Here is a 27407-nt window from a genome sequence, read left to right on the forward strand (position 1 = left end):
AGACACAGAATGAGATTGCTGAAGCTTTAAAACGTCTGAAGGAATGTGAATCTCACAGGACTCAATCAAATGACACAGAGAGGCAAAGTATTTAAAGACTTAGAGACAAGGATTTAAAAGCACCTGACTATATCATAACCTTTTTCTATCCCCTTCTGAATTGAGAAAGTGGATACTTATAAAATATTCTGATTGCATATAGTTTCAAAGACTTGCTTTGCAAAGTAATAGCCCTGGTTTTTTGTTTTCTTTTAGCCAAAGCCTGTTTTGTTTTTCTTCATTAATATATATGAAGGTGAATGGGAAAAAGAAGAATATCAGAAGGAGGGTTCATCCTATTAAGCTACATAGATTTGCCAATCTCAAGAATTAGTTACACATCTAAATATTTCTGGGTCAAATGTTCTAACCTGCAGACTTGCATCAGTTTGTTCACTTGAGTTTCCCCCCTTCGTCTCCCACATGTCATGCTCTGTTCCCCTAACAGCTGCTCTGTTTTGCCACTCTGTTGGTTTCTAAGCTGCTCTGCCTGTGACTGGCTGTGATCTGAGAAGATGAAGAATAGATGGAAGATGAAGGGAGCACCAGGGCAAAGCAAACCAGCTGCCAGAGGAAGATGTGTCACTGCACAGTGTGTAAAAACAGACACTAGAGACAGAAAACTTTTGAATGTCTGCTGGAACAAAGATTGTAGAAGGTGGAAAACAGGAATTAGCACCAAATCTCTAAAACCACTGTCACAAATTCTATGTTCTGATCAACCTTTGAAAAAGGCAATTCCATTCCAATTTAATCAGAGGGAAATGATTACTTAAAAGCATCAAGTGTGACAATGATGCTTTTCCAGAAAGATTTTCTGTCTTTTAACAGAAAATGTTAATGTCTTCAAGAAAATAAATAAAATTAAATCAATAAATTACATTAAATTAAATCAGAAACAAAAACAGTTTGTAAATAATATGCATTATAATTGGTTAAAAGAGCTTTAAAAAGTATTTGGCCACCTCTGATTCTATGGAATTGATATGCAAGAGAAATTCCTATCTTTGAAAGTCATAATAATATACAGTAAAATGAAAATAGCTGATTGAGATTATAAGGAAGTTATTCATATCAAATATTTTCAGAGCAGGTGAGAAAATAATCTTTGATACTACAAGTAAAGTTGAAAACAAACAGGATGGGTTTTTAAAACAAATCTTAGTAACACAGACTCCAAAAGTGAATTCCAGATATTTTTGAGATATGCAACATGATTCTTTTTAAGGTCTTCAGAGACCACCTTTCCCAAAACAAATGTCAACTTTCTGAATGCAACTGAAAAATGTTTCAAGCAACAGAAGATAATATGCATATTTTCAATTCATCTTCCCCTGGTCTTTTCTAACTTCACATGGTAAGGAAACCTTATTTTCTACGCACACCTACTATAAAGTATGCATAAATGAGCCAGGGTGTCCTCAGGGTCCCTAAAAGACAATCCTGCTTTTCTTCTTTCCTTCAAACTTCAGCCTAATTTTTGGCTCAGTTCATAGAAAGCCTCATTCTATTATTTCTCTACTGGCATACCCTAGTATTCAACTAAAGATTAGAATCTTACCTGGAGCTCTCTCCCGCTTCCCTACAGTCCTGAGGGCGGGATCCTGCTCCCATTGCCATGAAGGAATAACGAACGGTCCTGCCAGACTTCACACAAGTACGAGGCTCCAAAACCTTACCCTGCCAAACCACACCACTCAAGGCCTCCTACCCAGTGAGCTCCCTGATTGCACTGGCAGTTTGAGCCACACTGGCCTCTAACTTATTCGTTTATACATTTATAGTCAAGTCAGTTTCTGAGACTTATCCAGTCCTAGGTCAGTTCCCACCCCCTTGGCCCTGAAATGCTTCCTCCTATCCAACAATAACTTCAATATGAGAAACATGCATTTTAATTAAAAATTAAATTTATGCTCTCAATGGCCCATCTGCTAATTATCTTTCTTCTGTTCCATTATCTCAACTCTCTTCCCCGAACAAGAACCTCAAAAAACGCATAAACACATTTTCAGGTTATGATTCTGTAGAAGGGGGAAGCATTCTAAATCTTGATCCAAATTTTCTTGAGATAATTGCGACAGTGAGTTAACTGACTACTTGAGGAGCCACTCCAGGATACCCCACCTGTGTGGTCCATAGATGTAACAGCTGGGCCAGGTCAGCCTACTGACAATCCACTATTGCAGCTGGCCTTAGGCTGCAGTGAGCCTCTCTCTCAAAACTGCTGGTTGTTTCCAACCATTTCCTGGAGTGAGTCCCAATGCCATGTCCAAGCATAAACTAACATGACACCCAGAAACTCTGGCTTTCCCCACCACTTCCAGGTTCCAATGAAGCAACTCCCCATGAGGTATGCAATCTGACTTCAACAGCTGCTCAGAGGAGTTTGGTCTGGTTAAGGCCCTGGAGGAAAAATATTAGCTAAGGAGGAACAGGAGATTACAAGAAGTTGTCAGATAAATTATTTTGCCTGCCTCCCCTCTAATCCAAAGGGTTAGACAATGATTTCAGGTGACCACTCCAGAAATGTCCTATGTGACCAAGCAATCAGCTGTGTCACCTATAAGAATGTAACCAGCTGAGTAGCACACTACCTGGTATTTGCTCTTCTTCCTCCACGGCCAAATTTACTTTATTCTTGCTGCCCCAGGATTGAAGTCCTCAATAAAACAATAGCATGTAAACTTTGCCTCAGAATCCTTTCTTTTTTTTGTAGGAAACTTGGGCTAAGACATAGATTAATGAATAATATGACTCCTGCCTCTCCTCCAGGGAAGAGGAGACATACACAGGCTGGAGAGATCCTATTCTTTTTAGCTTGAAATCAGAAATGTATCTGGTAAGAATGTCAATTCATTATTATCACTGACCACTCTGCTGCCCTTCCCTCATCTGCTTCTCTCATCTCCCCTCTTGCTTCCCTCCCTTTTTTCCTCTCTCCCTCTCCCCTGTCTGCTCTTCTCTTCCTGCCTCTCTCTCAGCAACCCAAGAAAAGATTTCCTACAGTCAGATAAGAGGTGGTAAGAGAAAACTTTTTTTTAATTTAGCCAATGCATGTGAATGATTAGAGAGAAGAGCTAAATAGATAATAAAATGCAATAAAAACAATTTCACAGACACCTAAAGACACCTAATATTTCACAGAGTAATAATATATTCCAAAATAAATAAATGTTCTAATAAAGAAAATTAAAATGTTACATTCCAGGTGATTTTCAATGCAATTCATGTTAATATGCCCATTAGTCTCAAAAGTGTGAAGAGCACAACTTTGAGAAAATTGTTCTCAAATTTTTCTAATTATGCATGACATCTACCCTAATTTTGACACTTAGTTTTAAAGCACAATGTGTTCTTGTGAAGAAGATAAGGAAATAGACCATGACCTTCCTAAGAAATGTACATTTATACTTTTAATTCTAGTTGATTCTTTACCCAGAGATTCCAACTTGCCTTTATCTCCCAATTCAATACTCACCATGGGCTTAGAAATCCCATTGATTAATACAAAGAGTAAACCTGGCTTCACTTTGGTAAGTTTACAGCTTGGTAAATTTAGCCTCTTGGCTTTAAAATAACCACCAAGTAGAAAATTGTAGCAGCACTATCAGTGCAACAGAAGTAAGCTGATAAATTACAAATGGAAGAGGAGAAGAATTAATCGGCATTGGACATGAAAGGGGATTTTTAGTTCCTAAACATTTGTGCTGTAATCTCCTCTAAACTTTAATTAAACTCTCTAAAAGTTTATAATCATAAGATACATTTATTTTAAATTTACCACATGCCAGAAAGATTTACTCAAGCTGTCAGTTTTTTTCACTTAAGCATTTAATTCTGAAGTGACTGATTACAATCATCGTGCCTCTGATGAGGTAAAGTGTTTTAAAGCTGACTCTTGGTAAATTTCTCCTATAAAAAGAAACAGACTTTTCTACTGCAGGTGTAAGTGTCAACTGATGCAACCGTTTGTATAGTACTTAGGCATTCTTGGGAAAGTTAAACATGCACATCACCTATAATTCAGTAATTCCCCTCTTAAGTGGCAAAGAGAAACTCTTGAGCATCTATGACTGAAGACATCAACAAGAAATCTCACAGCATCATTGCTCATGGTAAAAAAAAAATAGAAAAAAATGATACAGTAGATATGTAAATTGCAATATATTCAAATGGTGTATAATACAATAGTATATGGTGAAATGTCAACAGCCATACATCAATATGTAAGAATAAGAACAATAAAGATAAATTAAGATCATAATTTTGAGTCAAAGAGAAGAACCACACTATGTATAAAATTCAAAAAGAGGCAAAATAAACACTATTTAGTTTAGGGATAGAAATATACCTGTTAAAACAGTAAAGAACCACAAAGGAATGATTAACAGAAAATTCAGGAAGGTAATAAGCACTGAGAGAGGACAAAAAGGAAAATTATCAAAGAGCACTTTGATTATAAATTTTAAAAGAGGAGCACTCAGGGGATTTCTAAGCCACTACCCAAGTAATTTCTCAACCTGGTGTTGGATATGTTAATATTTACTTTATTATTAACCTGTTTGTTCACATATCTTTGCGTGTATATTCCAGAATAAATTTTAATAAAAACAATCAATGACTTAACCTTAAAGAGAACAATACTTCATTTTTAAAGTTAATTTTGTATAGTAATAATAGTTAATTAAATTTTATTTAATAATAATTTTAAAAAATAATTTGTTATTGATCCAGGATGCCTGTAACCAAACAGTCTATAACTTGAGAATGCTGTCATTTTAGTTTGATGATAATATACTGGCCAGTGTCACTCCATGTTAACAGGAGTGAGAATGTCAAAGTCAGATGAACAATCAGTCTGAGATGGACATATCATATGATGGTGTATTATCTTTATTGCTATAAAGAAATATCTGAGACTGTGTAATTTATGGAGAAAAGAGGTTTAATTGGCTTGTAGTTCCACAGGCTGTACAAGAAGCATGATGCTGGCATCTGCTTGGCTTCTGGGGAAGTCTCTGGAAACAAAATCATGGTGGAAGGCAAAGGGGAAGCCAGCACATCACATGGCCAGAGGAGGAGGAAGTGGAGTGGTGTTACACACTTTTAAACAACCAGATCTCATGGGAACTCTATCATAGGACAAGACTACGGGGATGGTGCTAAGCCATTGGAAACCGCCCCCATGATTCAATCGCCTTCCACCAGGCCCCGCCTCCAACACCGGGGATTACAATTCAACATGAGATTTGGGCAGGGACAGAGATCTAAACCATATCAGGTGGCCATTATGGTCCCACCTCCTGGTATTCATTCTCTTGTGTAGTACCCCTATCTTAAATGTGGACAGAACCTGTGACTTTCTCTGGGCCAATAAAGCAGGCAAATGGGATGTACATGATTGTATTTCATAAGATATTGACGTCTGTCTTGCAAGGAGATTTTCTCTTGCAAAGAAGCGACTTTCCATTATGAGCTGCCTATGGAGATGCCTATGTGGCAAGGAGCTGAGAGTAGCCTCCAGATAACAACCAGCAAGAAACTGAGGCACTCAGTCCAACATCCCATAAGGAACAGAGTTCTTCTAACAACCACATGAGCAAGAAAGTGGATCATTCCCCATTTAAGTCTCAGGTGAGACCACATCCCCAGCTGGCACCTTTACTATAGCCTTGCAAAGGACCTACCTAAACCATGCCTACACTCTGACTTGGATGGGCTAAGAATGTTAGACTCATTTTACAAAAGGCAGTAAACTGGAAAAATGAGGGTTGGCAATAAGGATGGAATATCTACATTAAGACACTGGTGATTTTTTTTAAATGTTACTGACAAAGAGTGGGAAAATTAACAAACAGAAAGGACATCCACACCAAAACCCCATCTGTGAGTCACCATCATCAAAGACCAAAGGTAGATAAAAACCACAAAGATGGGGAAAAAACAGAGCAGAAAAGCTGAAAATTCTAAAAATCAGAAGCCCTCTCCGCCTCCAAAGGAATGCAGCTCCGCACCAGCAATGGAACAAAGCTGGATGGAGAATGACTTTGATGAGTTGAGAGAAGAAGGCTTCAGACGATCAAACATCTCCAAGCTAAAGGAGGAAGTTCAAACCTATTGCAAAGAAGGTAAAAACCTTGAAAAAAGATTAGACAAATGGCTAATTAGAATAACCAATGTAGAGAAGTCCTTAAATGACCTGATGGAGCTGAAAAACATGGCATGAGAACTACATGATGAATGCACAAGCTTCAGTAGCCAATTCGATCAACTGGAAGAAAGGGTATCAGTGATTGAAGATCAAATGAATGAAATGAAGCAAGAAGAGAAGTTTAGAGAAAAAACAGCAAAAAGAAATGAACAAAGACACCAAGAAATATGGGACTATGTGAATAGACCAAATCTTCAACTCATTGGTATACCTGAAAGTGACGGGGAGAATGGAACCAAGTTGGAAAACACTCTACAGGATATTATCCAGGAGAATTCCCCCAACCTAGCAAGGCAGGCCAACATTCAAATTCAGGAAATACAGAGAACGCCACAAAGATACTCCTCGAGAAGAGCAACTCCAAGACACATAATTGTCAGATTCACCAAAGTTGAAATGAAGGAAAAAATGTTAAGGGCAGCCAGAAAGAAAGGTCGGGTTACCAACAAAGGGAAGCCCATCAGACTAACAGTGGATCGCTCGGCAGAAACTCTACCAGCTAGAAGAGAGTGGGGCCAATATTCAACATTATGAAAGAAAAGAATTTTCAACCCAGAATTTCATATACAGCCAAACTAAGCTTCATAAGTGAAGGAGAAATAAAATACTTTAAAGACAAGCAAATGCTGAGAGATTTTGTCACCTCCAGGTCTGCCTTCCAAGAGCTCCTGAAGGAAGCACTAAACATGGAAAGGAACAACTGGTACCAGCCACTGCAAGAACATGCCAAATGGTAAAGACTATTGAAGCTAGGAAGAAACTGCATCAACTAACGAGCAAAACAACCAGCTAACATCATAATGACAGGATCAAATTCACACATAACAATATTAACATTAAATGTAAATGGGCTAAATGCTTCAATTAAAACACACAGACTGGCAAATTGGATAGAGTCAAGACCCATCAGTGTGCTGCATTCAGGAGACCAATCTCACATGCAGAGACACACATAGGATCAGAACAAAGGGATGGAAGAAGATCTACCAAGCAAATGAAAAACAAAACAAGGCAGGGATAGCAATCCTAGTCTCTGATAAAACAGACATTAAACCAACAAAGGTCAAAAGAGACAAAGAAGGCCATTATATAATGGTAAAGGGATCAATTCAACAAGAAGAGTTAAATATCTTAAACTATATGCGCCCAATACAGGAGCATCCAGATTCATAAAGCAAGTCCTTAGAGACCTAAAAAGAGACTTAGACTCCCACACAATAATAATGGGAGATTTTAACACCCCACTGTCAACATTAGACAGATCAACGAGACACAAAGTTAACAAGGATATCCAAGAATTGAACTCAGCTCTGCACCAAGTGGACCTAATAGACATCTACAGAACTCTCCACCCCAAATCAACAAAATATACATTCTTCTCAGCACCACATCACACTATTCCAAAATTGACCACATAATTGGAAGTAAAGCACTCCTCAGCAAATATAAAAGAACAGAAATTACAACAAACTGTCTCTCAGACCACAGTGCAATCAAACCAGAACTCAGGATTAAGAAACTCACTCAAAACCACTCAACTACATGGAAACTGAACAACCTGCTACTGAATGACTACTGGGCACATAAGGAAATAAAGGCAGAAATAAAGATGTTCTTTGAAACCAACGAGAACAAAGACAACATACCAGAATCTCTGGGACACATTCAAAGCAGTGTGTAGAGGGAAATTTAAAGCACTAAATGCCCACAAGAGAAAGCAGGAAACATCTAAAATTGACACCCTAACATCACAATTAAAAGAACTAGAGAAGCAAGAGGAAACACATTCAAAAGCTAGCAGAAGGCAAGAAATAACTAAGATCAGAGCAGAACTGAAGGAGATAGAGACACAAAAAACCCTTCAAAAAATCAATGAATCCAGGAGCTGGTTTTTTGAAAAGATCAACAAAATTCATAGACCGCTTGCAAGACTAATAAAGAAGAAAACAGAGAAGAATCAAATAAATGCAATAAAAAATGATAAATGGGATATCACCAACAATCTCACAGAAATACAAGCTACCATCAGAGAATACTATAAGCACCTCTATGCAAATAAACTAGAAAATCTAGAAGAAATGGATAAATTCCTGGACACATACACCCTCCCAAGACTAAACCAGGAAGAAGTTGAACCCGTGAATAGACCAATAACAGGCTCTGAAATTGAGGCAATCACTAATAGCCTACCAACAAATAAAAGTCCAGGATCAGATGGATTCACAGTCGAATTCTACCAGAGGCACAAGGAGGAGCTGGTACCATTCCTTCTGAAACTATTCCAATCAATAGAAAAAGAGGGAATCCTCCCTAACTCATTTTATGAGGCCAACATCATCCTGATACCAAAGCCTTGCAGAGACACAACAAAAAAAGAGAATTTTAGACCAATATCCCTGATGAACATCGATGCACAAATCCTCAATAAAATACTGGCAAACGGAATCCAGCAGCACATCTAAGGCTTATCCACCATGATCAAGTTGGCTTCATCCCTGGGATGCAAGGCTGGTTCAACATATGCAAATCAATAAACATAATCCAGCATATAAACAGAACCAAAGACAAAAACCACATGATTATCTCAATAGATGCAGAAAAGGCCTTTGACAAAATTCAACAACCCTTCATGCTAAAAACTCTCAATAAATTAGGTATTGATGGGATGTATCTCAAAATAATAAGAGCTATTTATGACAAACCCACAGCCAGTATCATACTGAATGGGCAAAAACTGGAAGCATTCCCTTTGAAAACTGGCACAAGACAGGGATGCCCTCTCTCACCACTCCTATTCAACATAGGGTTGGAAGTTCTGGCCACGGCAATCAGGCAGGAGAAAGAAATAAAGGGTATTCAATTAGGAAAAGAGGAAGTCAAATTGTCCCTGTTTGCAGATGACATGATTGTATATTTAGAAAACCCCATCATCTCAGCCCAAAACTCCTTAAGCAGATAAGCAAATTCAGCAAAGTCTCAGGATACAAAATCAATGTGCAAAAATCACAAGCATTCTTATATACCAATAACAGACAAACAGAGAGCCAAATCATGAGTGAATTCCCATTCACAATTGTTTCAAAGAGAATAAAATACCTAGGAATCCACCTTACAAGGGATGTGAAGGACCTCTTCAAGGAGAACTACAAACCACTGCTCTATTAAATAAAAGAGGATACAAACAAATGGAAGAACATTCCATGCTCATGGGTAGGAAGAATCAATATCGTGAAAATGGCCATACTGCCCAAGGTCATTTATAGATTCAATGCCATCCCCATCAAGCTACCAATGACTTTCTTCACAGAATTGGAAAAAACTACTTTAAAGTTCATATGGAATCAAAAAAGAGCCCACACAGCCAAGACAATCCTAAGCCAAAAGAACAAAGCCGGACGCATCACTCTATCTGACTTCAAACTATACTACAAGGCTACAGTAACCAAAACAGCATGGTACTGGTACCAAAACACAGATATAGACCAATGGAACAGAACAGAGCCCTCAGAAATAATACCACACATCTACAACCATCTGATCTTTGACAAACCTGATAAAAACAAGCAATGGGGAAAGGATTCCCTATTTAACAAATGGTGCTGGGAAAACTGGCTAGCCATACGTAGAAAGCTGAAACTGGATCCCTTCCTTACACCTTATACAAAAATTAATTCAAGATGGATTAAAGACTTAAATATTAGACCTAAAACCATAAAAACCCTTGAAGAAAACCTAGGCAATACCATTCAGGACATAGGCATGGGCAAGGACTTCATGTCTAAAACACAAAAAGCAATGGCAACAAAAGCCAAATTCGACAAATGGGATTTAATTAAACTAAAGAGCTTCTGCACAGCAAAAGAAACTACCATCAGAGTTAACAGGCAACCTACAGAATGGGAGAAAATTTATGCAATCTACTCATCTGACAAAGGGCTAATATCCAGAATCTACAAAGAACCCAAACAAATTTACAAGAAAAAAAAACCCCATCAAAAAGTGGGTGAAGGATATGAACAGATACTTCTCAAAAGAAGACATTTTTGCAGCCAACAGACATATGAAAAAATGCTCATCATCACTGGCCATCAGAGAAATGCAAATCAAAACCACAATGAGATACCATCTCACACCAGTTAGAATGGCAATCATTAAAAAGTCAGGAAACAACAGGTGCTGGAGAGGATGTGGAGAAATAGGAATGGTTTTACACTGTTGGTGGGACTGCAAACTAGTTCAACCATTGTGGAGGACAGTGTGGCGATTCCTCAAGGATCTAGAACTAGCAATACCATTTGACCCAGCCATCCCTTACTGGGTATACACCCAAAGGACTATAAATCATGCTGCTATAAAGATACATGCACACATATGTTTATTGTGGCACTATTCACACTAGAAAAGACTTGGAACCAACCCAAATGTCCATCAACGATAGACTGGATTAAGAAAATGTGGCACATAAACATCATGGAATACTATGCAGCCATAAAAAATGATGAGTTCATGTCCTTTGTAGGGACATGGATGAAGCTGAAAACCATCATTCTCAGGAAACTATGGCAAAGACAAAAAACCAAACACTTCATGTTCTCACTCATAGGTGGGAATTGAACAATCAGAACACTTGGACACAGGAAGGGGAACATCACACACCAGGGCCTGTCATGGGGTGGGGGGATGGGGGAGGGATAGCATTAGGAGATATACCTAATGTAAATGATGAGTTAATGGGTGCAGCACACCAACATGGCATGTGTATACATACGTAACAAACCTGCATGTTGTGCACACGTACCCTAGAACTTAAAGTATGATTTAAAAAAAAGAAAGAAAAAAAAAAAGCAGCACAGTCTGCAGCACTCACCGAGAGGTATGAAAAGGGGCAAGTGAATTCAACACCTTCGACTGAAATATCCACGTTCTCACACTGGGACGAACCAGGCAAATAAGGTGACTCATGGAGAACAAAGAAAAGCTTGCGATTGGGGAAAGTGGGCCCAACTGGGAGCAGCACAAAGCCAAAGGAGCACCCACCCCAGCCCCAAGGAAATCAGTGAGTGATAGTGCAACCCTGCATGGGAAACCATACTTCTCCCATGGATCTTTGCAACCCACAGATCAGTAGATCCCCTCATGAGCCCATGCCACGGTGGCCCTGGGTCTGATATGCAGAGCTGTGTGGAGGCTTGGCAGAGCGGCTGCTCAGGAACATACAGAGATCCAGGAGCTTTACATACTCTGGCCCAGGGATCCCCGGAAGATGGGAAATTTGTCCATACATATCCCTAGAAAGGGGGCTGAATCCAAGGAGCCAAACAGTGTTGTTCCATGGATCACACTTCCATGGTACTTCACAATTTAAAACCCACTGGCTTGGAATCCCAGCCAGCCAACAACAGTGGGTTGGAGTCCATCTGAGACAGGTTTGAGTGCCCAGGCAGAGGCATGGTCACTATCTCTGCAGTTCAGTTGATTCAGCTGCTCCAGTTTGCCGGCTTTGGAGAATACAGGCAGTTCAGATGGGGAAGGATCCCCTCAATGCAGCACACCTGCTCTACCAAAAAGCAGCCAGCCTACTTCTTTGGGTGGGTCCCTGATTCCATTATTCTTTACTGGGTGAGACCTCCCAGTGGGGGTTCCAGCCACATCCTAGTGCAGACCAGCAATAGGCCAGTACCCTCCTGGGATAGAGCTTGCAGAGGAAGAAGCTGGCTGCCATCTTTGTTCTTTTGCAGGATTCACTGGTGATATCTCCAGGTACAAGAGAAATCAGTGGAACTAGGGTCTGGAGCAGACCCCCAGCAAACCACAGTAGCCCTAGGGTAGAGTGGCCTGACTATTAAAAGAAAAACAACCAAACGGAAACAACAACAACAACAACAACAAAAAACAGAAAAACCTCATCGAAGGTCAGCAACCCTAAAGACTGAAGGTAGATAAGCCCACAAAGATGAGAAAGCATCAATGCAAAAACATTGAAAACTCAAAAAGCTAGATTGCCTTTTCTCCTCCAAATCACCACAACACCTCTCCAGCAAGGGCACAAAACTGGGCTGAGGTTGAGATAGCTGAATTGATGGAAGTCAGCTCCAGAAGGTGGGTAATACCAAACTTCACTGAGCTAAAGGAGCATGTTGTAACCTAATGCAAAGAAGCTAAGAATCATGATAAAACAATACAGGAGCTAACAGCCAGAATAGCCAGTTTAGACAGGAACATAACCATCATGATGGGGCTGAAAAACACAACATGAGAACTTCACAATGCAATCACAAGTATTAACAGCAGAATAGATCAAGGGAAGGAAAAAATCTCAGAGCTTCAAGACTATCTTTCTGAAATAAGACAGGCAGACAAGAATAGAGAAAAAAAGAATGAAAAGGAACAAACAAAACCTCCAAGAAATATGGGATTATGTAAAGAGACCAAACCTATGACTGACTGTGGTACCTAAAAGAGACAGGAAGAATGGAACCAAGTTGGAAAACATACTTCAGGATATCACCCAGAAGAATTTCCCCAACCTAGAAAGACAGGCCAACATTCAATTTCAGAAAATCCAGAGAACCTCAGTAAAATATACCACAAGAAAATCAGTCCCAAGACACATAATCATCAGATTCTTCAAGGTCAAAATGAAAGAAAAGACATTAAGAGCAGCCAGAGAGAAGGGCCAGGTCATCTACAAAGGGAAACTCATCAGACTAACAGTGGACCTCTCAGAAGAAACCCTAGAAGCCAAAAGAGATTGGGAGCCAATACTCAACATTCTTGAAAATAATTTCCAACCCACAATTTCGTATCTGGCCAAACTAAGCTTTATAAGCAAAAAAGAAATAAGACTCTTTTCAGACAAGCAAATCCTGAAGGAATTCATCACCACCAGGCCTGCCTTGCAAGAGAACCTGAAGGAAGTACTAAATTTTGAAAGGAAAAACCATTACCAGCCGCTACAAAAGCACACTGAAATACACAGACCAGTGACACTATGAAGCAGTCACATAAACAAGTCTGCAAAATAACCAGCTAGCATCATGATCACAGGATCAAATTCACACACAAAAATATTAACCTTAAATGTAAATGGCCTAAATTCCTTAATTAAAAGACACAGAATAAGCTGGATAAAGAGCCAATACCCATCAGTATGTTGTCTTCAAGAGACCCATCTCATATGCAAAGACGCACATAGGTTTAAAATAAAGAGATGGAGGAAAATTTACCAAACAAATGGAAAACAGAAAAAAGTGGATTAGTTTCAATAGAAATGGTGCCAGCTCTTCTTTGTACCTCTGGTAGGGGTTGCAATCCTAGTTTCTACTAAAGTAGGCCTTAAACCAATAACGGTCAAAAAAGACAAAGAAAGGCATTACATAATGGTAAAGGGTGATAAGAAGAGCCAACAAGAAGAGCTAACTATCTTAAATATATAGGCACCCAATACACGAGCACCCAGATTCGTAAGTTCTTTCTTTAAAGAACTTGCTTTATGAATTTATAAAGAAAGACACCTACAAAGAGACTTAGACTCCCAAAGAATAACAGTGGGAGACTTTAACACCCCACTGACATATTAGAGAAATCATTAAGACAAAAAATTTACAAAGATATTGAGGACCTGAACTCAGCTCTGGATAAAATGGATCTGATAGATATATACAGGACTCTCAACCCAGATTCAACAGAATGTACATTCTTCTCATTCCTACATGACACTTACTCTGAAATTGATCACATAATCAGAAGTAAAACACTACTCAGCAAATGCAAAAGAACTGAAGTCATAACAGTCTCTCAGACTACAGCACAATCAAATTAGAACTCAAGACTAAGAAATCAACTCAAAACCACACAACTATATGGAAATTAAACAACCTGCTCCTGAATGACTCTTGGGTATGCAACTAAAGCAGTGATAAGAGGGAAATTTATAGCATTAAATACCCACATCAAAAAGCTAGAAAGATCTCAAGTTAACAACCTAACATCTAAAAGAACTAGAGAACCAAGAACAAGCAAACCCCAAAGCTAGTAGAAGACAAGAAATAACCAAGATCAGAGAGGAACTGAAGAAGATACAAACAAAAAAACCTTCAAAAACTCACAAATTCCAGGATATGGTTTTTTGAAAAAATTAATAACATAGATAAACCATTAGCTAGACTAATAATGAAGAAAAGAGAGAAGAATTAAATAAACACACTCAGAAATGATAAGGGAGATAATCACCACTGAACCTACAGAAATACAACCAACCATCAGAGAATACTATAAACACTTCTCTGCACATAAACTAGAAAATCTAGAAGAAATGCATAAATTCCTGGACATATACACCCCCCCGAAGACTGAACCAGGAAAAAATTGAATCCCTGAATAAACCAATAATGAGTTCTGAAATTCAGGCAGTATTAAATAGCCTACCAACCAAAAAAACAAAACCCCAGGACCAGACAGATTCACAGCTGAGTTCTACCAGAGGTACAAAGAAGAGCTGGCACCATTTCTACTGAAACTAATATAAAAAATGCAAAAGGAGGCACTCCTTCCTAACTTGTTCTATGAGACCATCAACGTCCTGATGCCAAAACTTGGCAGAGATATAACAAAAAGAAGAAAACTTTGGGCCAATATCCCTGATGAACAATGATGCAAAAATCCTCAATAAAATACTGGCAAACTGAATCCAGCAGAAAATCAAAAAGCTTTTCCACCATGATCAAGGTGGCTTCATCCCCAGGATTCGAGGTTGGTTCAACATATGCAAATCAATAAATGTGATTTATGATATAAACAGAACTAAAGACAGGAACCACATGATTATCTCAATGATGCAGAAAAGGCTTCAATAGAATTCAACATCCCTTCATGTTAAAAACTCTCAATAAACTAGGTACTGAGGGAACATACCTAGAAATAATAAGAGCCATATATGACAAACCCACAGCCAATATCATTCTGAATGGGCAAAAGCTGGAAGCATTCCCCTTGAAAACTGGCACAAGACAAGGATGCCCATTCTCACCACTCCTATTCAACATAGTATTGGAAGTTCTGGCCGGACAATCAGGCAAGAGCAAAAAAATAAGCCTATTCAAATAAGAAGAGAAGAAGTCAAATTATCTTTGTTTGTAGATGACATGATCCTATATCTAGAAAACCCCATTGTATTAGCCCAAAAGCTCCTTAAGCTATTAAGCAACTTCAGCGAAGACTCAGGATATAAACTCAATGTGCAAAAATTGCTAACGTTCCTGTACACCAACAATAGGCAAGCAGAAAGCCAAATCATGAATAAACTTCCATTCACAATGGCTACAAAAAGAATAAAATGCCTAGGAATACATCTAGAAGGGAAGTGAAGAACCTCTTCAAGGAGAACTACAAACCACTTCTCAAAGAAATCAGAGGACACAAACAAATGGAGAAACATTCCATGCTCATGGACAGGAAGAATCAATATTGTGAAAATGGCCATGCAGCCCAAAGTAATTTAAAGATTCAATGCTATTCCCATTAAACTACCACTGACATTCTTATCGAATAAGAAAAAAACATATTAAAATTCATATGAAACCAAAAATGAGCCCAAGTAGCCAAGACAATCCTAAGCAAAAAGAACAAAGCTGGAGGGATCACACTAACCAACTTCAAACTAAATTACAAGACTATAACAACCAAAGCCTCATGGTACTGGCACAAGGACAGACACATTGATCAATGGAATGGAAAAGAGAACTCAGAAGACCCCACACCTACAACCAACTGATCTTCAACAAACTTGACAAAAGCAAGGAATGGGGAAAGGACTCCCTATTTAATAAATGATGCTGGGAGTGCTGGCTATCCATATGCAGAAAATTGAAACTGAACCCCTTCTTTATACTTTATACAAAAATTAACTCAAGCTAGATTAAAGATTTAAATGTAAAACCCAAAACTATAAAAACCCTAGAAGAAAATCTAGGCAATACCATTCAGAACATAGACACAGGCAAAGGTTTCATGATGAAATCACCAAAAGCAATTGCAACAAAAGGAAAAATTGACAAATGGGATCTAATTAAACTAAAGAGCTTCTGCACAGCAAAAAGGGCTATTATCAGAGTAAAGAGACAACCCACAGAATGGGAGAAAAATTTCACAATCTATCATCTGACAAAAGTCTAATATCCAGAGTCCACAAGGAACTTAAACAGATGTACAAGACAAAAACAAACAACCCCATTAAAAAATGAGCAAAGGACATGAACAGACACTTCTCAAAAGAAGACATACATGCAGCCAACAAACATATGAATAAAAGCACAACATCACTGATCACTACAGAAATGCAAATCAAAACTTCAATCAGATACCATCTCATGCCAGTCAGAATGGTGATTATCAAAAAGCCAAGAAACAATAGATGCTGGTGGGGTTGCAGAGAAACGGGAAAGCTTTTACACTGTTGGTGGGAATGTAAATTAGTTCAATCATTATGGAAGATGGTGTGGAAATTCCTCAAAAATCTAGAACCAGAAATACTATTTAATTCAGCAATCCCATTACTGGGTATATAATAAATCATTCTATTATAAAGATATATGCACACATATGTTCATTGCAGCACTATTCATAATAGCAAAGGCATAGAATCAATCTAAATGTCCACCAATGATAGACTGGACAAAGAAAATGTGGTATATATACACCATGAAATACTATGCAGTCATAAAAAGGAATGAGTTCATGTCATTTGCAGGGACATGGATGGAGCTAGACGCCATTATCCTCAGCAAACTAACGCAGGAACAAAAAAAAAAAAAAAACACTCCATGTCCTCACTTATAAGTGGGAGCTGAATGATGAAAACACATGGACACATGGTGGGGTACAACACACACTTGGGCCTGTTGGGGGATTGGGGGAGGAGAGCATCAGGAAGAATAGCTAATGGATGTTGTGCTTAATATGTAGGTGATGGGATGATGGGCACATATGTGCATGGCACAGATTTACTTATGTAACAAACCTTCACATCCTACACATACACCCCTGAACTTAAAATAAAAGTTGAAGAAAAAAATAAATGGATAAATCATGTAACATTTATGCTACTGAAACATAGTCATAAAAAGAATGACAAAATTTTCTGTTAGTATTTCTCTATGATCCAGTGATCATCTGCACCAAAATCACTGGGTTTTTTTAAATAAATAAATTTTATTGTGTATATTTAAGGTATATAACGTAGTGTTACAAACTACACATATAGTGTAAACCAAAAGGCATCTGAGACAGGTCCCAACCATTTTAGAATGTTTATTTTGCCAAGGTTAAGGACAAACTCAAAGTCATCCCTCTGATCACGTGAGACAAATGCAAATCTGATTGCTTCCTTTGCCCTAATGTGTCACTAAGCCAGACTAAGGCATAAGTGACTATTCCCGTAAATTGTGCATTCAGCAAAGAGATAATCAGAAACTACTCAAAAGAATGCAACCATTTGTCTCTTATCTACCTATGACCTGGAAGCCCCCTCCCTGCTTCAAGTTGTCCTGCCTTTCCAGACTGAACCAGCATACATGTTACCTATATTAATTGATGTCTCATGACTCGCTAAAATGTATAAAACCAAGCTGTCCCCCAACCACCTTGGACATATGTCATCAGGACCTCCTGAGACTGTGTCACGGGCACATCCTTAACCTTGGCAAAATAAACTTTCCAAATTGATTCAGACCTGTCTCAGATGTCTTTTGTTTACAATAGTAAAATGGTTTCTACAGTGGAACAAACGTTAACATCCATTGTCTCACATAGTTACTCATCCCCTCCTCAAAAGAGCATCTGTAAACTACTCATTTAGCAAAAATCCTGAATACAGTACATTTTAATTAACTATAGTCCTCATGTTGTGTATTGTTTATCCTGCATATTTGCTACTTTATATCCTTTGACCTACATTTCCCCATTTGCTCTCCCTACTCCACCCCAACCCTGGTAACTACTGTTTTATTCTCCCCTATGTATATGATCTTTTATTTTTACATTCCACATATAAGTGAGATCATGGTATATTTGTCTGTGTCTGGTTTACTTAACTTAGCATAATGCCCTCCAGGTCCATCCATGTTTTGGCACATTGCAGATGCTCCTTTTCACATTGCAGACGCTCCTTTTTTAAGGCTGACTGGCATTTTGTTAAACAAGCAGATACCCTGAGCCTCATCCCATACCTACTGAATTCATTGGACATAAATGTTTCATTAAAGCCTCAGCTGATTCTTACCCATAAAAGTTTGAAAATCACTATTATGTGTTCCAACAGGGAAAGCTCTCCTAAATAAAATTGTTAGAAGGAAAAGAAAGATTCAGAATAATATGTATAGAACAAGCCTGTGTTTATAAAAGCAAAATTGTGTAAATGTGTGTATGTTTGTGTGTATATGTGCGTATAAGCATTTATGTTTGTGTATAAAAATATACACAAAATTTTTGTGTAAGCAAATGTATACATATAACAATAGTATAATATTGTTAATATTGAATATAAACGAATAGTATGAAAAAGTCCAGAAGGCAGTACAATAAATGTTAACGGTGACAAAGGTTAGATCATCCAGGGCCCTTGGGGCCATGTTAAGGAGGTAAGATTTTATACAGGGACTAAGGAGGGGAAATAAGAGTGAGAGAGGCTAAGCAGAATATGATACAATTTAGGGTCTTAAAAAAACCACCCTGGCAGCCATGTGGAGACTGGCTTAGAGGAGCACACACCAATAAGAGAATGGGGTGGACTACCAATTGTGAGAACAAAGGTAAACATGGAAGGGACCAAACCAGAGCAGAATCTAACCCATCAGGAAATTGTGTAGTGGGGAGACACACACTCCTCAGAGCCCTTTAAATAACACACATGTGGGACATCCCAAGAAAGTCAGCATGTGGATACTGTAGGTCAGAAGAATCAACAGCTGGTAGTTACGATGCCAGAGAGAAGCAACCATCCAAGAGAGGACCACGACAACAGCCAGCGAAGTAGAGAGACATTTCCCTTTCGCTCTCCTTCCTCTCCACTCTAACACAACTGAGTGCTAGAGCACTAGAGCCTAGAAAAGGCAGGACAGAATGTATGCAGCAGTGTTTCTGTTTTTGTTGTTTTGTTTTTGTTTTGTTTATCTTTTTAATTTTTATTTTTAAGTTCCAGGGTACATGTGCAGAATGTGCAGGTTGTAAAGGTAAACGTGTACCATGGTGGTTTGCTGCACCTATCAACCTATCACCTAGATATTAAGCCCAGCATGCATTAGCTTTTTTTCCTAATGCTGTCCTTCCCCCCACCACAACCCTGAGAGGCCCCAGTGTGTGTTATTGCCCTCCCTGTGTTCTCACCGTTCAGCTCCCACTTGTAAGTGAGAACATGCGGTGTTTGGTTTTCTGTTCCTGCATTAGTTTGCTGAGCACAATGGCTTCCAGCTCCATCCATGTCCCTGCAAAGGACATGATCATGTTCCTTTTTATGGCTGCATAGCATTCCATGATGTATATGTACACATTTTCTCTATCCAGTCTATCATTGATGGGCATTTGGGTTAATTCTATATCTTTGCTATTGTGAATAGTGCTGCGATGAACATACATGTGCAGGTATCTTTATAATAGAATGATTTATATTCCTTTGGTTATATACCCAGTAAGATGATTGCTGGGTCAAATGGTATTTCTGGTTCTAGATCTTTGAGGAATCGCCACACCGTCTTCCACAATGGTTGAACTAATTTACATTCCCATCAACAATGTAAAAGCATTCCTATTTCTCTGCAACCTCGCCAGCATTGGTTTCTTGACTTTTTGATAATCATAATTCTGACTGGAGTGAGATAGTATCTGATCGTGGTTTTGATTTGCATTGCTCTAACGATCAGTGATGTTGACCTTTTTTTCATATGTTTGTTGGCTGCATGCATGTCTTCTTTTGAGTCGTGTCTGTTCATGTCCTTTGCCCACTTTTTAATGGAGTTGTTTGTTTTTTCTTGTAAATTTTTTTAAGTTCCTTGTAGATTATGGATAATAGACCTTTGTCAGGTGGATAGATTGCAAAGATTTTCTCCCATTCTGTAGGTTGCCCGTTCACTCTGATAATAGTTTCTTTTGCCGTGCAGAAGCTCTTTAGTTTAATTAGATCCCATTTGTCAATTTTTCCTTTTGTTGCAATTGTTTTTGATGATCTCGTCAAGAAACCTTTGCCCGTGCCTATGTTCTGAATGGTATTGCCTAGATTTTCTTCTAGGATTTTTATAGTTTTGGGTTTTACATTTAAGTCTTTAATCTATCTTAAGTTTTGTATAAAGTGTAAGGAAGGGGTCCACTTTCAGTTTTCTCCATATAGCTAGCCAGTTGCCAGTTCTCCCAGCACCATTTATTAAACAGGGAATCCTTCCCGTTGTTTATTTTTGTCAGATTTGTCAAAGATCAGATGGTTGTAGTTGTGCAGTCTTATTTCTGAGTTCTCTATTTTGTCCAATTTGTCTATGTTTCTGTTTTTGTACCAGTACCATGCTGTTTTGGTTACTGTAGCCTTGCAGTATCATTTGAAGTCGGGTAGCATGATGCCTCCAGCTTCGTTATTTTTGCTTAGGATTGTCTTGGCTATACGAGCTCTTTTTTGGTTGCAGCAGTGCTTCTTAAATGTTGGTTCCCAGAAAGCAGCAACACCATCACCTAGGAACTTATTAGAAACATATTCTCAGGTGTTTCCACAGACCTGAATAAAAAACTCTGGGGCTAGCACCCAATAATTTGTACTTTTAAAAAGCACCCCAACCTCAGGTGATTTTGATACATACTAAAGTTTGAGAACCACCAATGTGGAATTTTGGAAATTTTAAACCATACCGGAATGAATTCTAATAACTACAAGTGAATTGATTGTTATGAGATTTGCCTGAGATGTTATTTAAGGATAAGAAGAGAAATTGGACAGAATACATTTAAAAGCAGTGGCTTGGGAAAAAGAAAACTTTTCATATTTCATCCTAATGATTGAAGAACAGGTGCATTAACAACAATTCATTAATGATTCTATATTTGTAAATATCCATTATTTTTAACAAGAATGGGATGATATTTTAGTTTTATATTCAATATTAAATCTGATCAACACCAGCATTTTGTTGATAAGCCATGTTAATACCTGCTCCTAAAAAATAAGCAGACCCTTAATGGTTTATTGCTGCCCAGTCTCTAGATTGCAGATGGCTGAAAAAAGATAAATGACTGTTCTTGCTCCCAAGGGACCCTACCACTCTTTAGACCAACTTACTGTGAGAGTAAATTCTGAAAAATCCAGGACTTACAAAATACACAAACATGGGGGAATGGTGGGGTGGGCAATTCCTGAGTGATCTTTAGCTGTTTTAGCGATGCCATAAACGCACGGAGACAGGAAAGCATGGCAAAATATACCTTTTTTTAGGTCTTAAAAATAGATATGAGCCAGGTGCAGTGGCATGGGCCTATAGTCCAGCTACTCAGGAAGCTAAAGCAGAAGAATTGCTTAAGTCCAGGAGTTCAAGTCTAGCAACATAGTGAGACCCCAAGTAAAAAAAAAAAATTTCAATAGATATAATAGAAACCAAAAAAACAGTATTTAGGTTTTGTAACCTAAATTCTTAGGAAGATAGATGAGTAAAAATATACTAATAATTACCTAAATAAGAACCCCCAAAACACACCTGCCCGATTTTAAATTACTTGAGCTATAGAAGAGGAACTTTAATTGGATTGCATTAAGAAGTCAGTTTTATTTGAATTTACTTTTTGCACAGATGTGTTGTTGAAGCTGTCATATTCAACATCTATTCAGCTCCTCTCTCTGACACAATGTATTTGCTTCCATCTGTGTGTTGCAACGGTGACATCTAGTGACTATTTTACTGAAGTGCATTCTTGGAGAAAAAAATGCACATCATAAAAATATTACTATTTCGGTCCCTATTATTTCCAGAAGTCACCTCTGGTATGAACCTTCCTAACAGTATGAAAAGAGTTAAGAAAAGATCTGTGCTATTCAAATCATTCAAATTGCATTTTATTTATGATTAGTACTTATATGAAGCTAGAGAATTTCAAAACATAAATTCAACCTGGAAACAAAGCCATATCTGGTAGGCAGTTACTAAAGTCACCATTTAAGTTGAAATTAGACTTCCTAATAACTCACTTTTATACTACTGTTTATCCACTGAAGCCAAGGAAAATGACCAATTATTTCTTTTCTGTTTTATCTTTCAGCCTACAGTTTCTACTATATGTATATGTGGTTCTGAACTTTAGATTCCACACAGTAGCATTCTACTTTTCTTTAAGATGAAGAAACAAGAACATTTAGTGGGGCACTTTAGGCAATGAAGAATTAACGCAGTTTTCTGGGAGTTATCTATAGATAATCCCAAAACACAGCTGACACGCTGCTCCATTGTTTCATTCACTGTGCAGATTTTAAGCAGGCAGGTGTAAACATTCACTTCAGGAACAAATTTCACTGCACAGTGTTGCTTACAATGTGAAGAACTAAAGTTCCAGCCTCCAGGAAGCAAGCTTATATGTTGGCCCAACTGCAAAATGGGAGGAGGAGGGCGATGTTGTAGAAGGCTGTACCACTGTCCTATCTCATTTCTAAAGCATTCGTGTAAAAGTGGCACTAAATCAGATAAGTGTGGTCCCAGGCAGGAGTGTCTCATTTCAGTCATATGCACATGTAACATAATCATCACTAGTGGCATCTTACCAACATTAATTAAATCAAGATCTTACAGATCTTATGATACTACGCCATTTGGTGGGGGAGAAAGGGGAGTAAAGAGGGAAGACTACAGAAAAAATCATGGATGTCTGGGGTTAATATATATAACCCAAGGTCAGCTGTCTCTATGTTCTCTAATGTTGTGAAATCACCTTTTTTTTGTTTGTTTAAAAATTGGCCCAAGCACCTATGCCATACAGGTGAGGAAATGTGCTATCGGGGCCCTTTCCCCTACCTCTACCTCCAGATGACCCTTGTAGGATTTAAATTTATCTTATTCATCTCTTGCTATCATATCCTGCCTCTGCTGAGTTCTCTCTTGGTCTCTGTATCTACAGCTGTTCTTCACTCTCATTCCAGCTAAACTAAAAAGAGGCTGCTTGCCGGGCGCGGTGGCTCATGCCTGTAATCCCAGCACTTTGGGCGGCCGAGGTGGGTGGATCACGAGGTCAGGAGATCGAGACCATCCTGGCTAACACAGTGAAACCCCGTCTCTACTAAAAAATACACAAAATTAGCCGGGCGTTGTGGCAGGCGCCTGTAGTCCCAGCTACTCGGGAGGCTGAGGCAGGAGAACAGCGTGAACCTGGGAGGCGGAGATTGCAGTGAGCCGAGACAGCGCCACTGCACTCCAGCCTGGGCGACAAAGCGAGACTCCGTCTCAAAAAAAAAAGGTGGCGGGGGTGCTGCTTAAAAGCAGGAGCCCCTTCTAAGCTCCCCACTTCATATCCAGTGCCTACAACAGCAGTTGCTGGATAGTAGTCACATCGTCTCATTTTCTCATTCAAAGCAATTCTGTCATTCTTTTATCTATTCTCCCTTCCAGACCAAGTCCTGAGCTCCATCTTTTCACACCAAGTAGCTCCTTAAAGTGATTTATTGAAATAAAGGATGACTCTTCCTATAAGAAATTCTGTCCCCAGAATACTCTCACTTCTTATATATTTAAGAAACACCTAGAGTATATTTCAAAACATTTTGTATACAGTAAATATATATACTTTTTATTTGTCAAATAAAAAAAACAAACCTAGATATAGTAAGCTAGCCCACCAGAAATGAAATTTTACCTCTTCAACAACAGAACCTGAGACATGGTCTGTACAGTAAGAAAAAGAGTTACCCTGGAGCAGATCTTGAAAATTCAATTTTAGAAAACAACCCATCTCACCAATCTCTGCATGGTAATCAGAGATCTCAGCATTGTCCAAGCAGAAAGCATGTGGGAGAGAAACAGCACCAGTATAAATGACACTTCACTCATTCGTCAATGATGTGAGCAACTCTTTTGCTAAATAACAGAATATTTTCTGACACTAAGAGAATATTTTCTCAATTTTGTGTGCTATCCTTACTGCAAAGATTATACATACAATGCACTTTTCAGTTTATTCTGAATTATTAACATTTCCTCCATGACTTTTTTAAGCCTAGACCAGGTCTCAGCGAATGATACCAGCAGGTGAAATCCACCCTGCCACCTATTTTTATAAGTTTTACTGGAACACAGCCATGCTGCTTGTTTAAGCATTGTCGATGGCTGCTCGAGTGCCACAACAGAGTCAGGCAGTTTGACAGACACAGCATGGTCCTAGAAGCCCAAAATTGTTACTGCCTGGCTTGCTACTGTCTAGCTTGCCAACACATTCTTTACTCTCTCTTTCTGGTACTCTATCTCCCTCACCTCAGAGATCAACATGCCCTTCTGGTGAGTCAAAGCCCCTGCTGCTTTCCCACCTATCATAACTCCCTCCATTACTTCCCTGACCTCCTTTTCTTCCATAAAATATTCATTTATGTGTATTTTAATTAAAAGGTGACAAAGGGGATTATATAATTATTTTATGGTAAGTTTTGACTATTAGATTCAATCCTCCTACTTTTAAAAGAGGAGCTTATAACTTATTAAAGAAAAACAAATCTTGCTAGAATGACATCTGCAGAACATTAGTATGTTTGCAGCTTTACCAGCCATGTTCCTATCTTCTTGGCTTCTATCACAGACTTTCTAGGGAAGAATAATGGAATGGACAGAGAGCCAGAGCCATCCACACCTCTGGGGCTCCATTTAGAAAGTGAGTGACTTTCTATCAATTCTCTATGAGAAGGATAAGAGATTGGTTCTGACTTTAACCACCATTAATTAAATTTTGCTTATTTATCTTCATTCCTACTTTTCTGAGGTTTTAGCCTAGCTCCAGGTTTATTCCTATCATTTCTGGGTAAAAATAATATAGGAATATTCAGATATTGTACTTTTTATATTTAATACTTTTTGCAAAGTGAAGTTAGCAAACCTTTGATGAATGTGGTTTTCTCTCAAGGTTCCATAACGTAATAGTTCCATTTAAAGGTTTAAGTTATTTGTGTGCTTTTATTTACCCATAATTGTTGACTTTTTTTAAATAACCTTGTTTATTGTAGAAAATGTTTAAAAATACAGATAACAAAATGTAAACTCCCCCCCAACATAATCACCACGAAAATATGGGTATACCTATAATATTTTCTCCGCACAGACACATGCACAAAATTGTGTATATGAGTATATACATATAAAGGCATAATGTGTTTCATTTTACTTTACTTTATTACACTTCGCAGATATTGTGCTTTTCTAAAATTCAAGGTTTGTAGCAACTCTGCATCAAGCAAGTCTCTTGGTGCCATTTTCCAACAGCATATGCTCACTTTGTGTCACATTTTAGTAATTCAATATTTCAAACATTCTCATTATTATCATATCTGTCATGGTGATCTGTCATAAGTAACCTTTGATACTACTATTGTAATTGTTTTGGGGCATCATGAACCATTCCCACATAAGACAGCAAACTTAATAAATGTTGTGTGTGTTCTTATCCCATGGACCAACCAGTCATTCCCCCATCTCTTCCCCTATCCTTGGGCCTCCCTATTCTCTGAAACACAACAATATCGAAATTAGGCCAATTAATAACCGTACAATGGCGTATCCATGTTCAACTGAAAGGAAGAATTACATTTCTCTCACTTTAAATCAAAAGCTAGAAATGGCTAAGTTTTGTGAAGAAGGCATGTCAAAAACCAAGACAGGCTGAAAGCTGTACTACTCCAGTGAACACATGAATGATAAAAAAGCAAAACAACCTTATTGCTGATATGCAGAAAGTTTGAGAAGTCTAGATAGAAGATTAAATTAGCCACATTCCCTTAAGCCAAAGCCTGATCCAGATCAACGTCCTCCCTTTCTTTCTCTATGAAAGCTGAGAGAGGTGAGGAAGTTGCAGAAGAAAAGTTGGAAGCTAGCAGAGGTTAGTTCATGAGGCTTAAGGAAAGAAGCCATCTCGTAACATAAAAGTATAAGGAGAAGCAGCAACTGCTGATGTAGAAGCTGCAGCAAATTATTTAGAAGATCTAGCTGAGATCACTGATGAAGGTAGCTACATTAAACAACACATTTTCAGTGTAGATGAAATAGCCTTATTTTGGAAGAAGATGTTGTTTGGGACTTTCATAGCTGGAGAGAAGTCAATGTCTGACTTCAAACCTTCAAAGTATAGGCTGGCTACCTTGATAGGAACTAATGCATCTGGTGACTTTAAGTTGGAATCAATGCTCACTGACCATTCCAAAAATTCTAAGGACCCTTAAGCATTATGCTAAATCTACTGTCTGTGTGCTAGAAATGTCAAAACAAAGCCTAGATGACAGCACATTTGTTGACAGCATGGTTTACTGAATATTTTAAGCCCACTGTTGAGATCTCCTGCTCAGAAAAAAAAATGAAAGATTTGTTTTAAAATATTACTGCTCTCTGGCAATGTACCTGGTCACAAGAGCTCTAACGGAGCTGTACAATACATTAATGTTGTTTTCATGCCTGCTAACACAATATCCATTCTGCAATCCATGGATCAAGGAGTTATTTTTACTTTCAAATCTTATTATTTAAAAAATACATGTTGTAAGACTATAGCTGTCATAAATAATGATTATTCTGATGGATCTGGACATAGTAAATTGAAAGTAATCTTCTGGAAGGGATTCGCCACTCTAGATGCCATTAAGAACATTTGTGATTCATGGGAGGAGGTCAAAATATTAACACCAAAATTAAAAGGAGTTTGGAAGGAGTTGATTCCAACCCTTATGGATGACTTTGAGGGGTTCAAAACTTCAGTGGAGGAAGTAACTTCAGTAGTGGTAGAAATAGCCAGAGAACTAGAATTAGAAGTGGGGTCTGAAGATGTGGCTGAATTGCTGCAATCTCATGATAAAACTTGAACGGATGAGTTGCTTTTTACAGATGAGCAAAGAAAATGATTTTTTGAATAGAATATACTCCTGGTGAAGATGCCATGAGCATTGTGAAAATGACAAGAA

This window comes from Homo sapiens, chromosome 8 (genome assembly GCF_000001405.40).
Source record: "Homo sapiens chromosome 8, GRCh38.p14 Primary Assembly".
NCBI classification, from domain to species: Eukaryota; Metazoa; Chordata; class Mammalia; order Primates; family Hominidae; genus Homo; species Homo sapiens.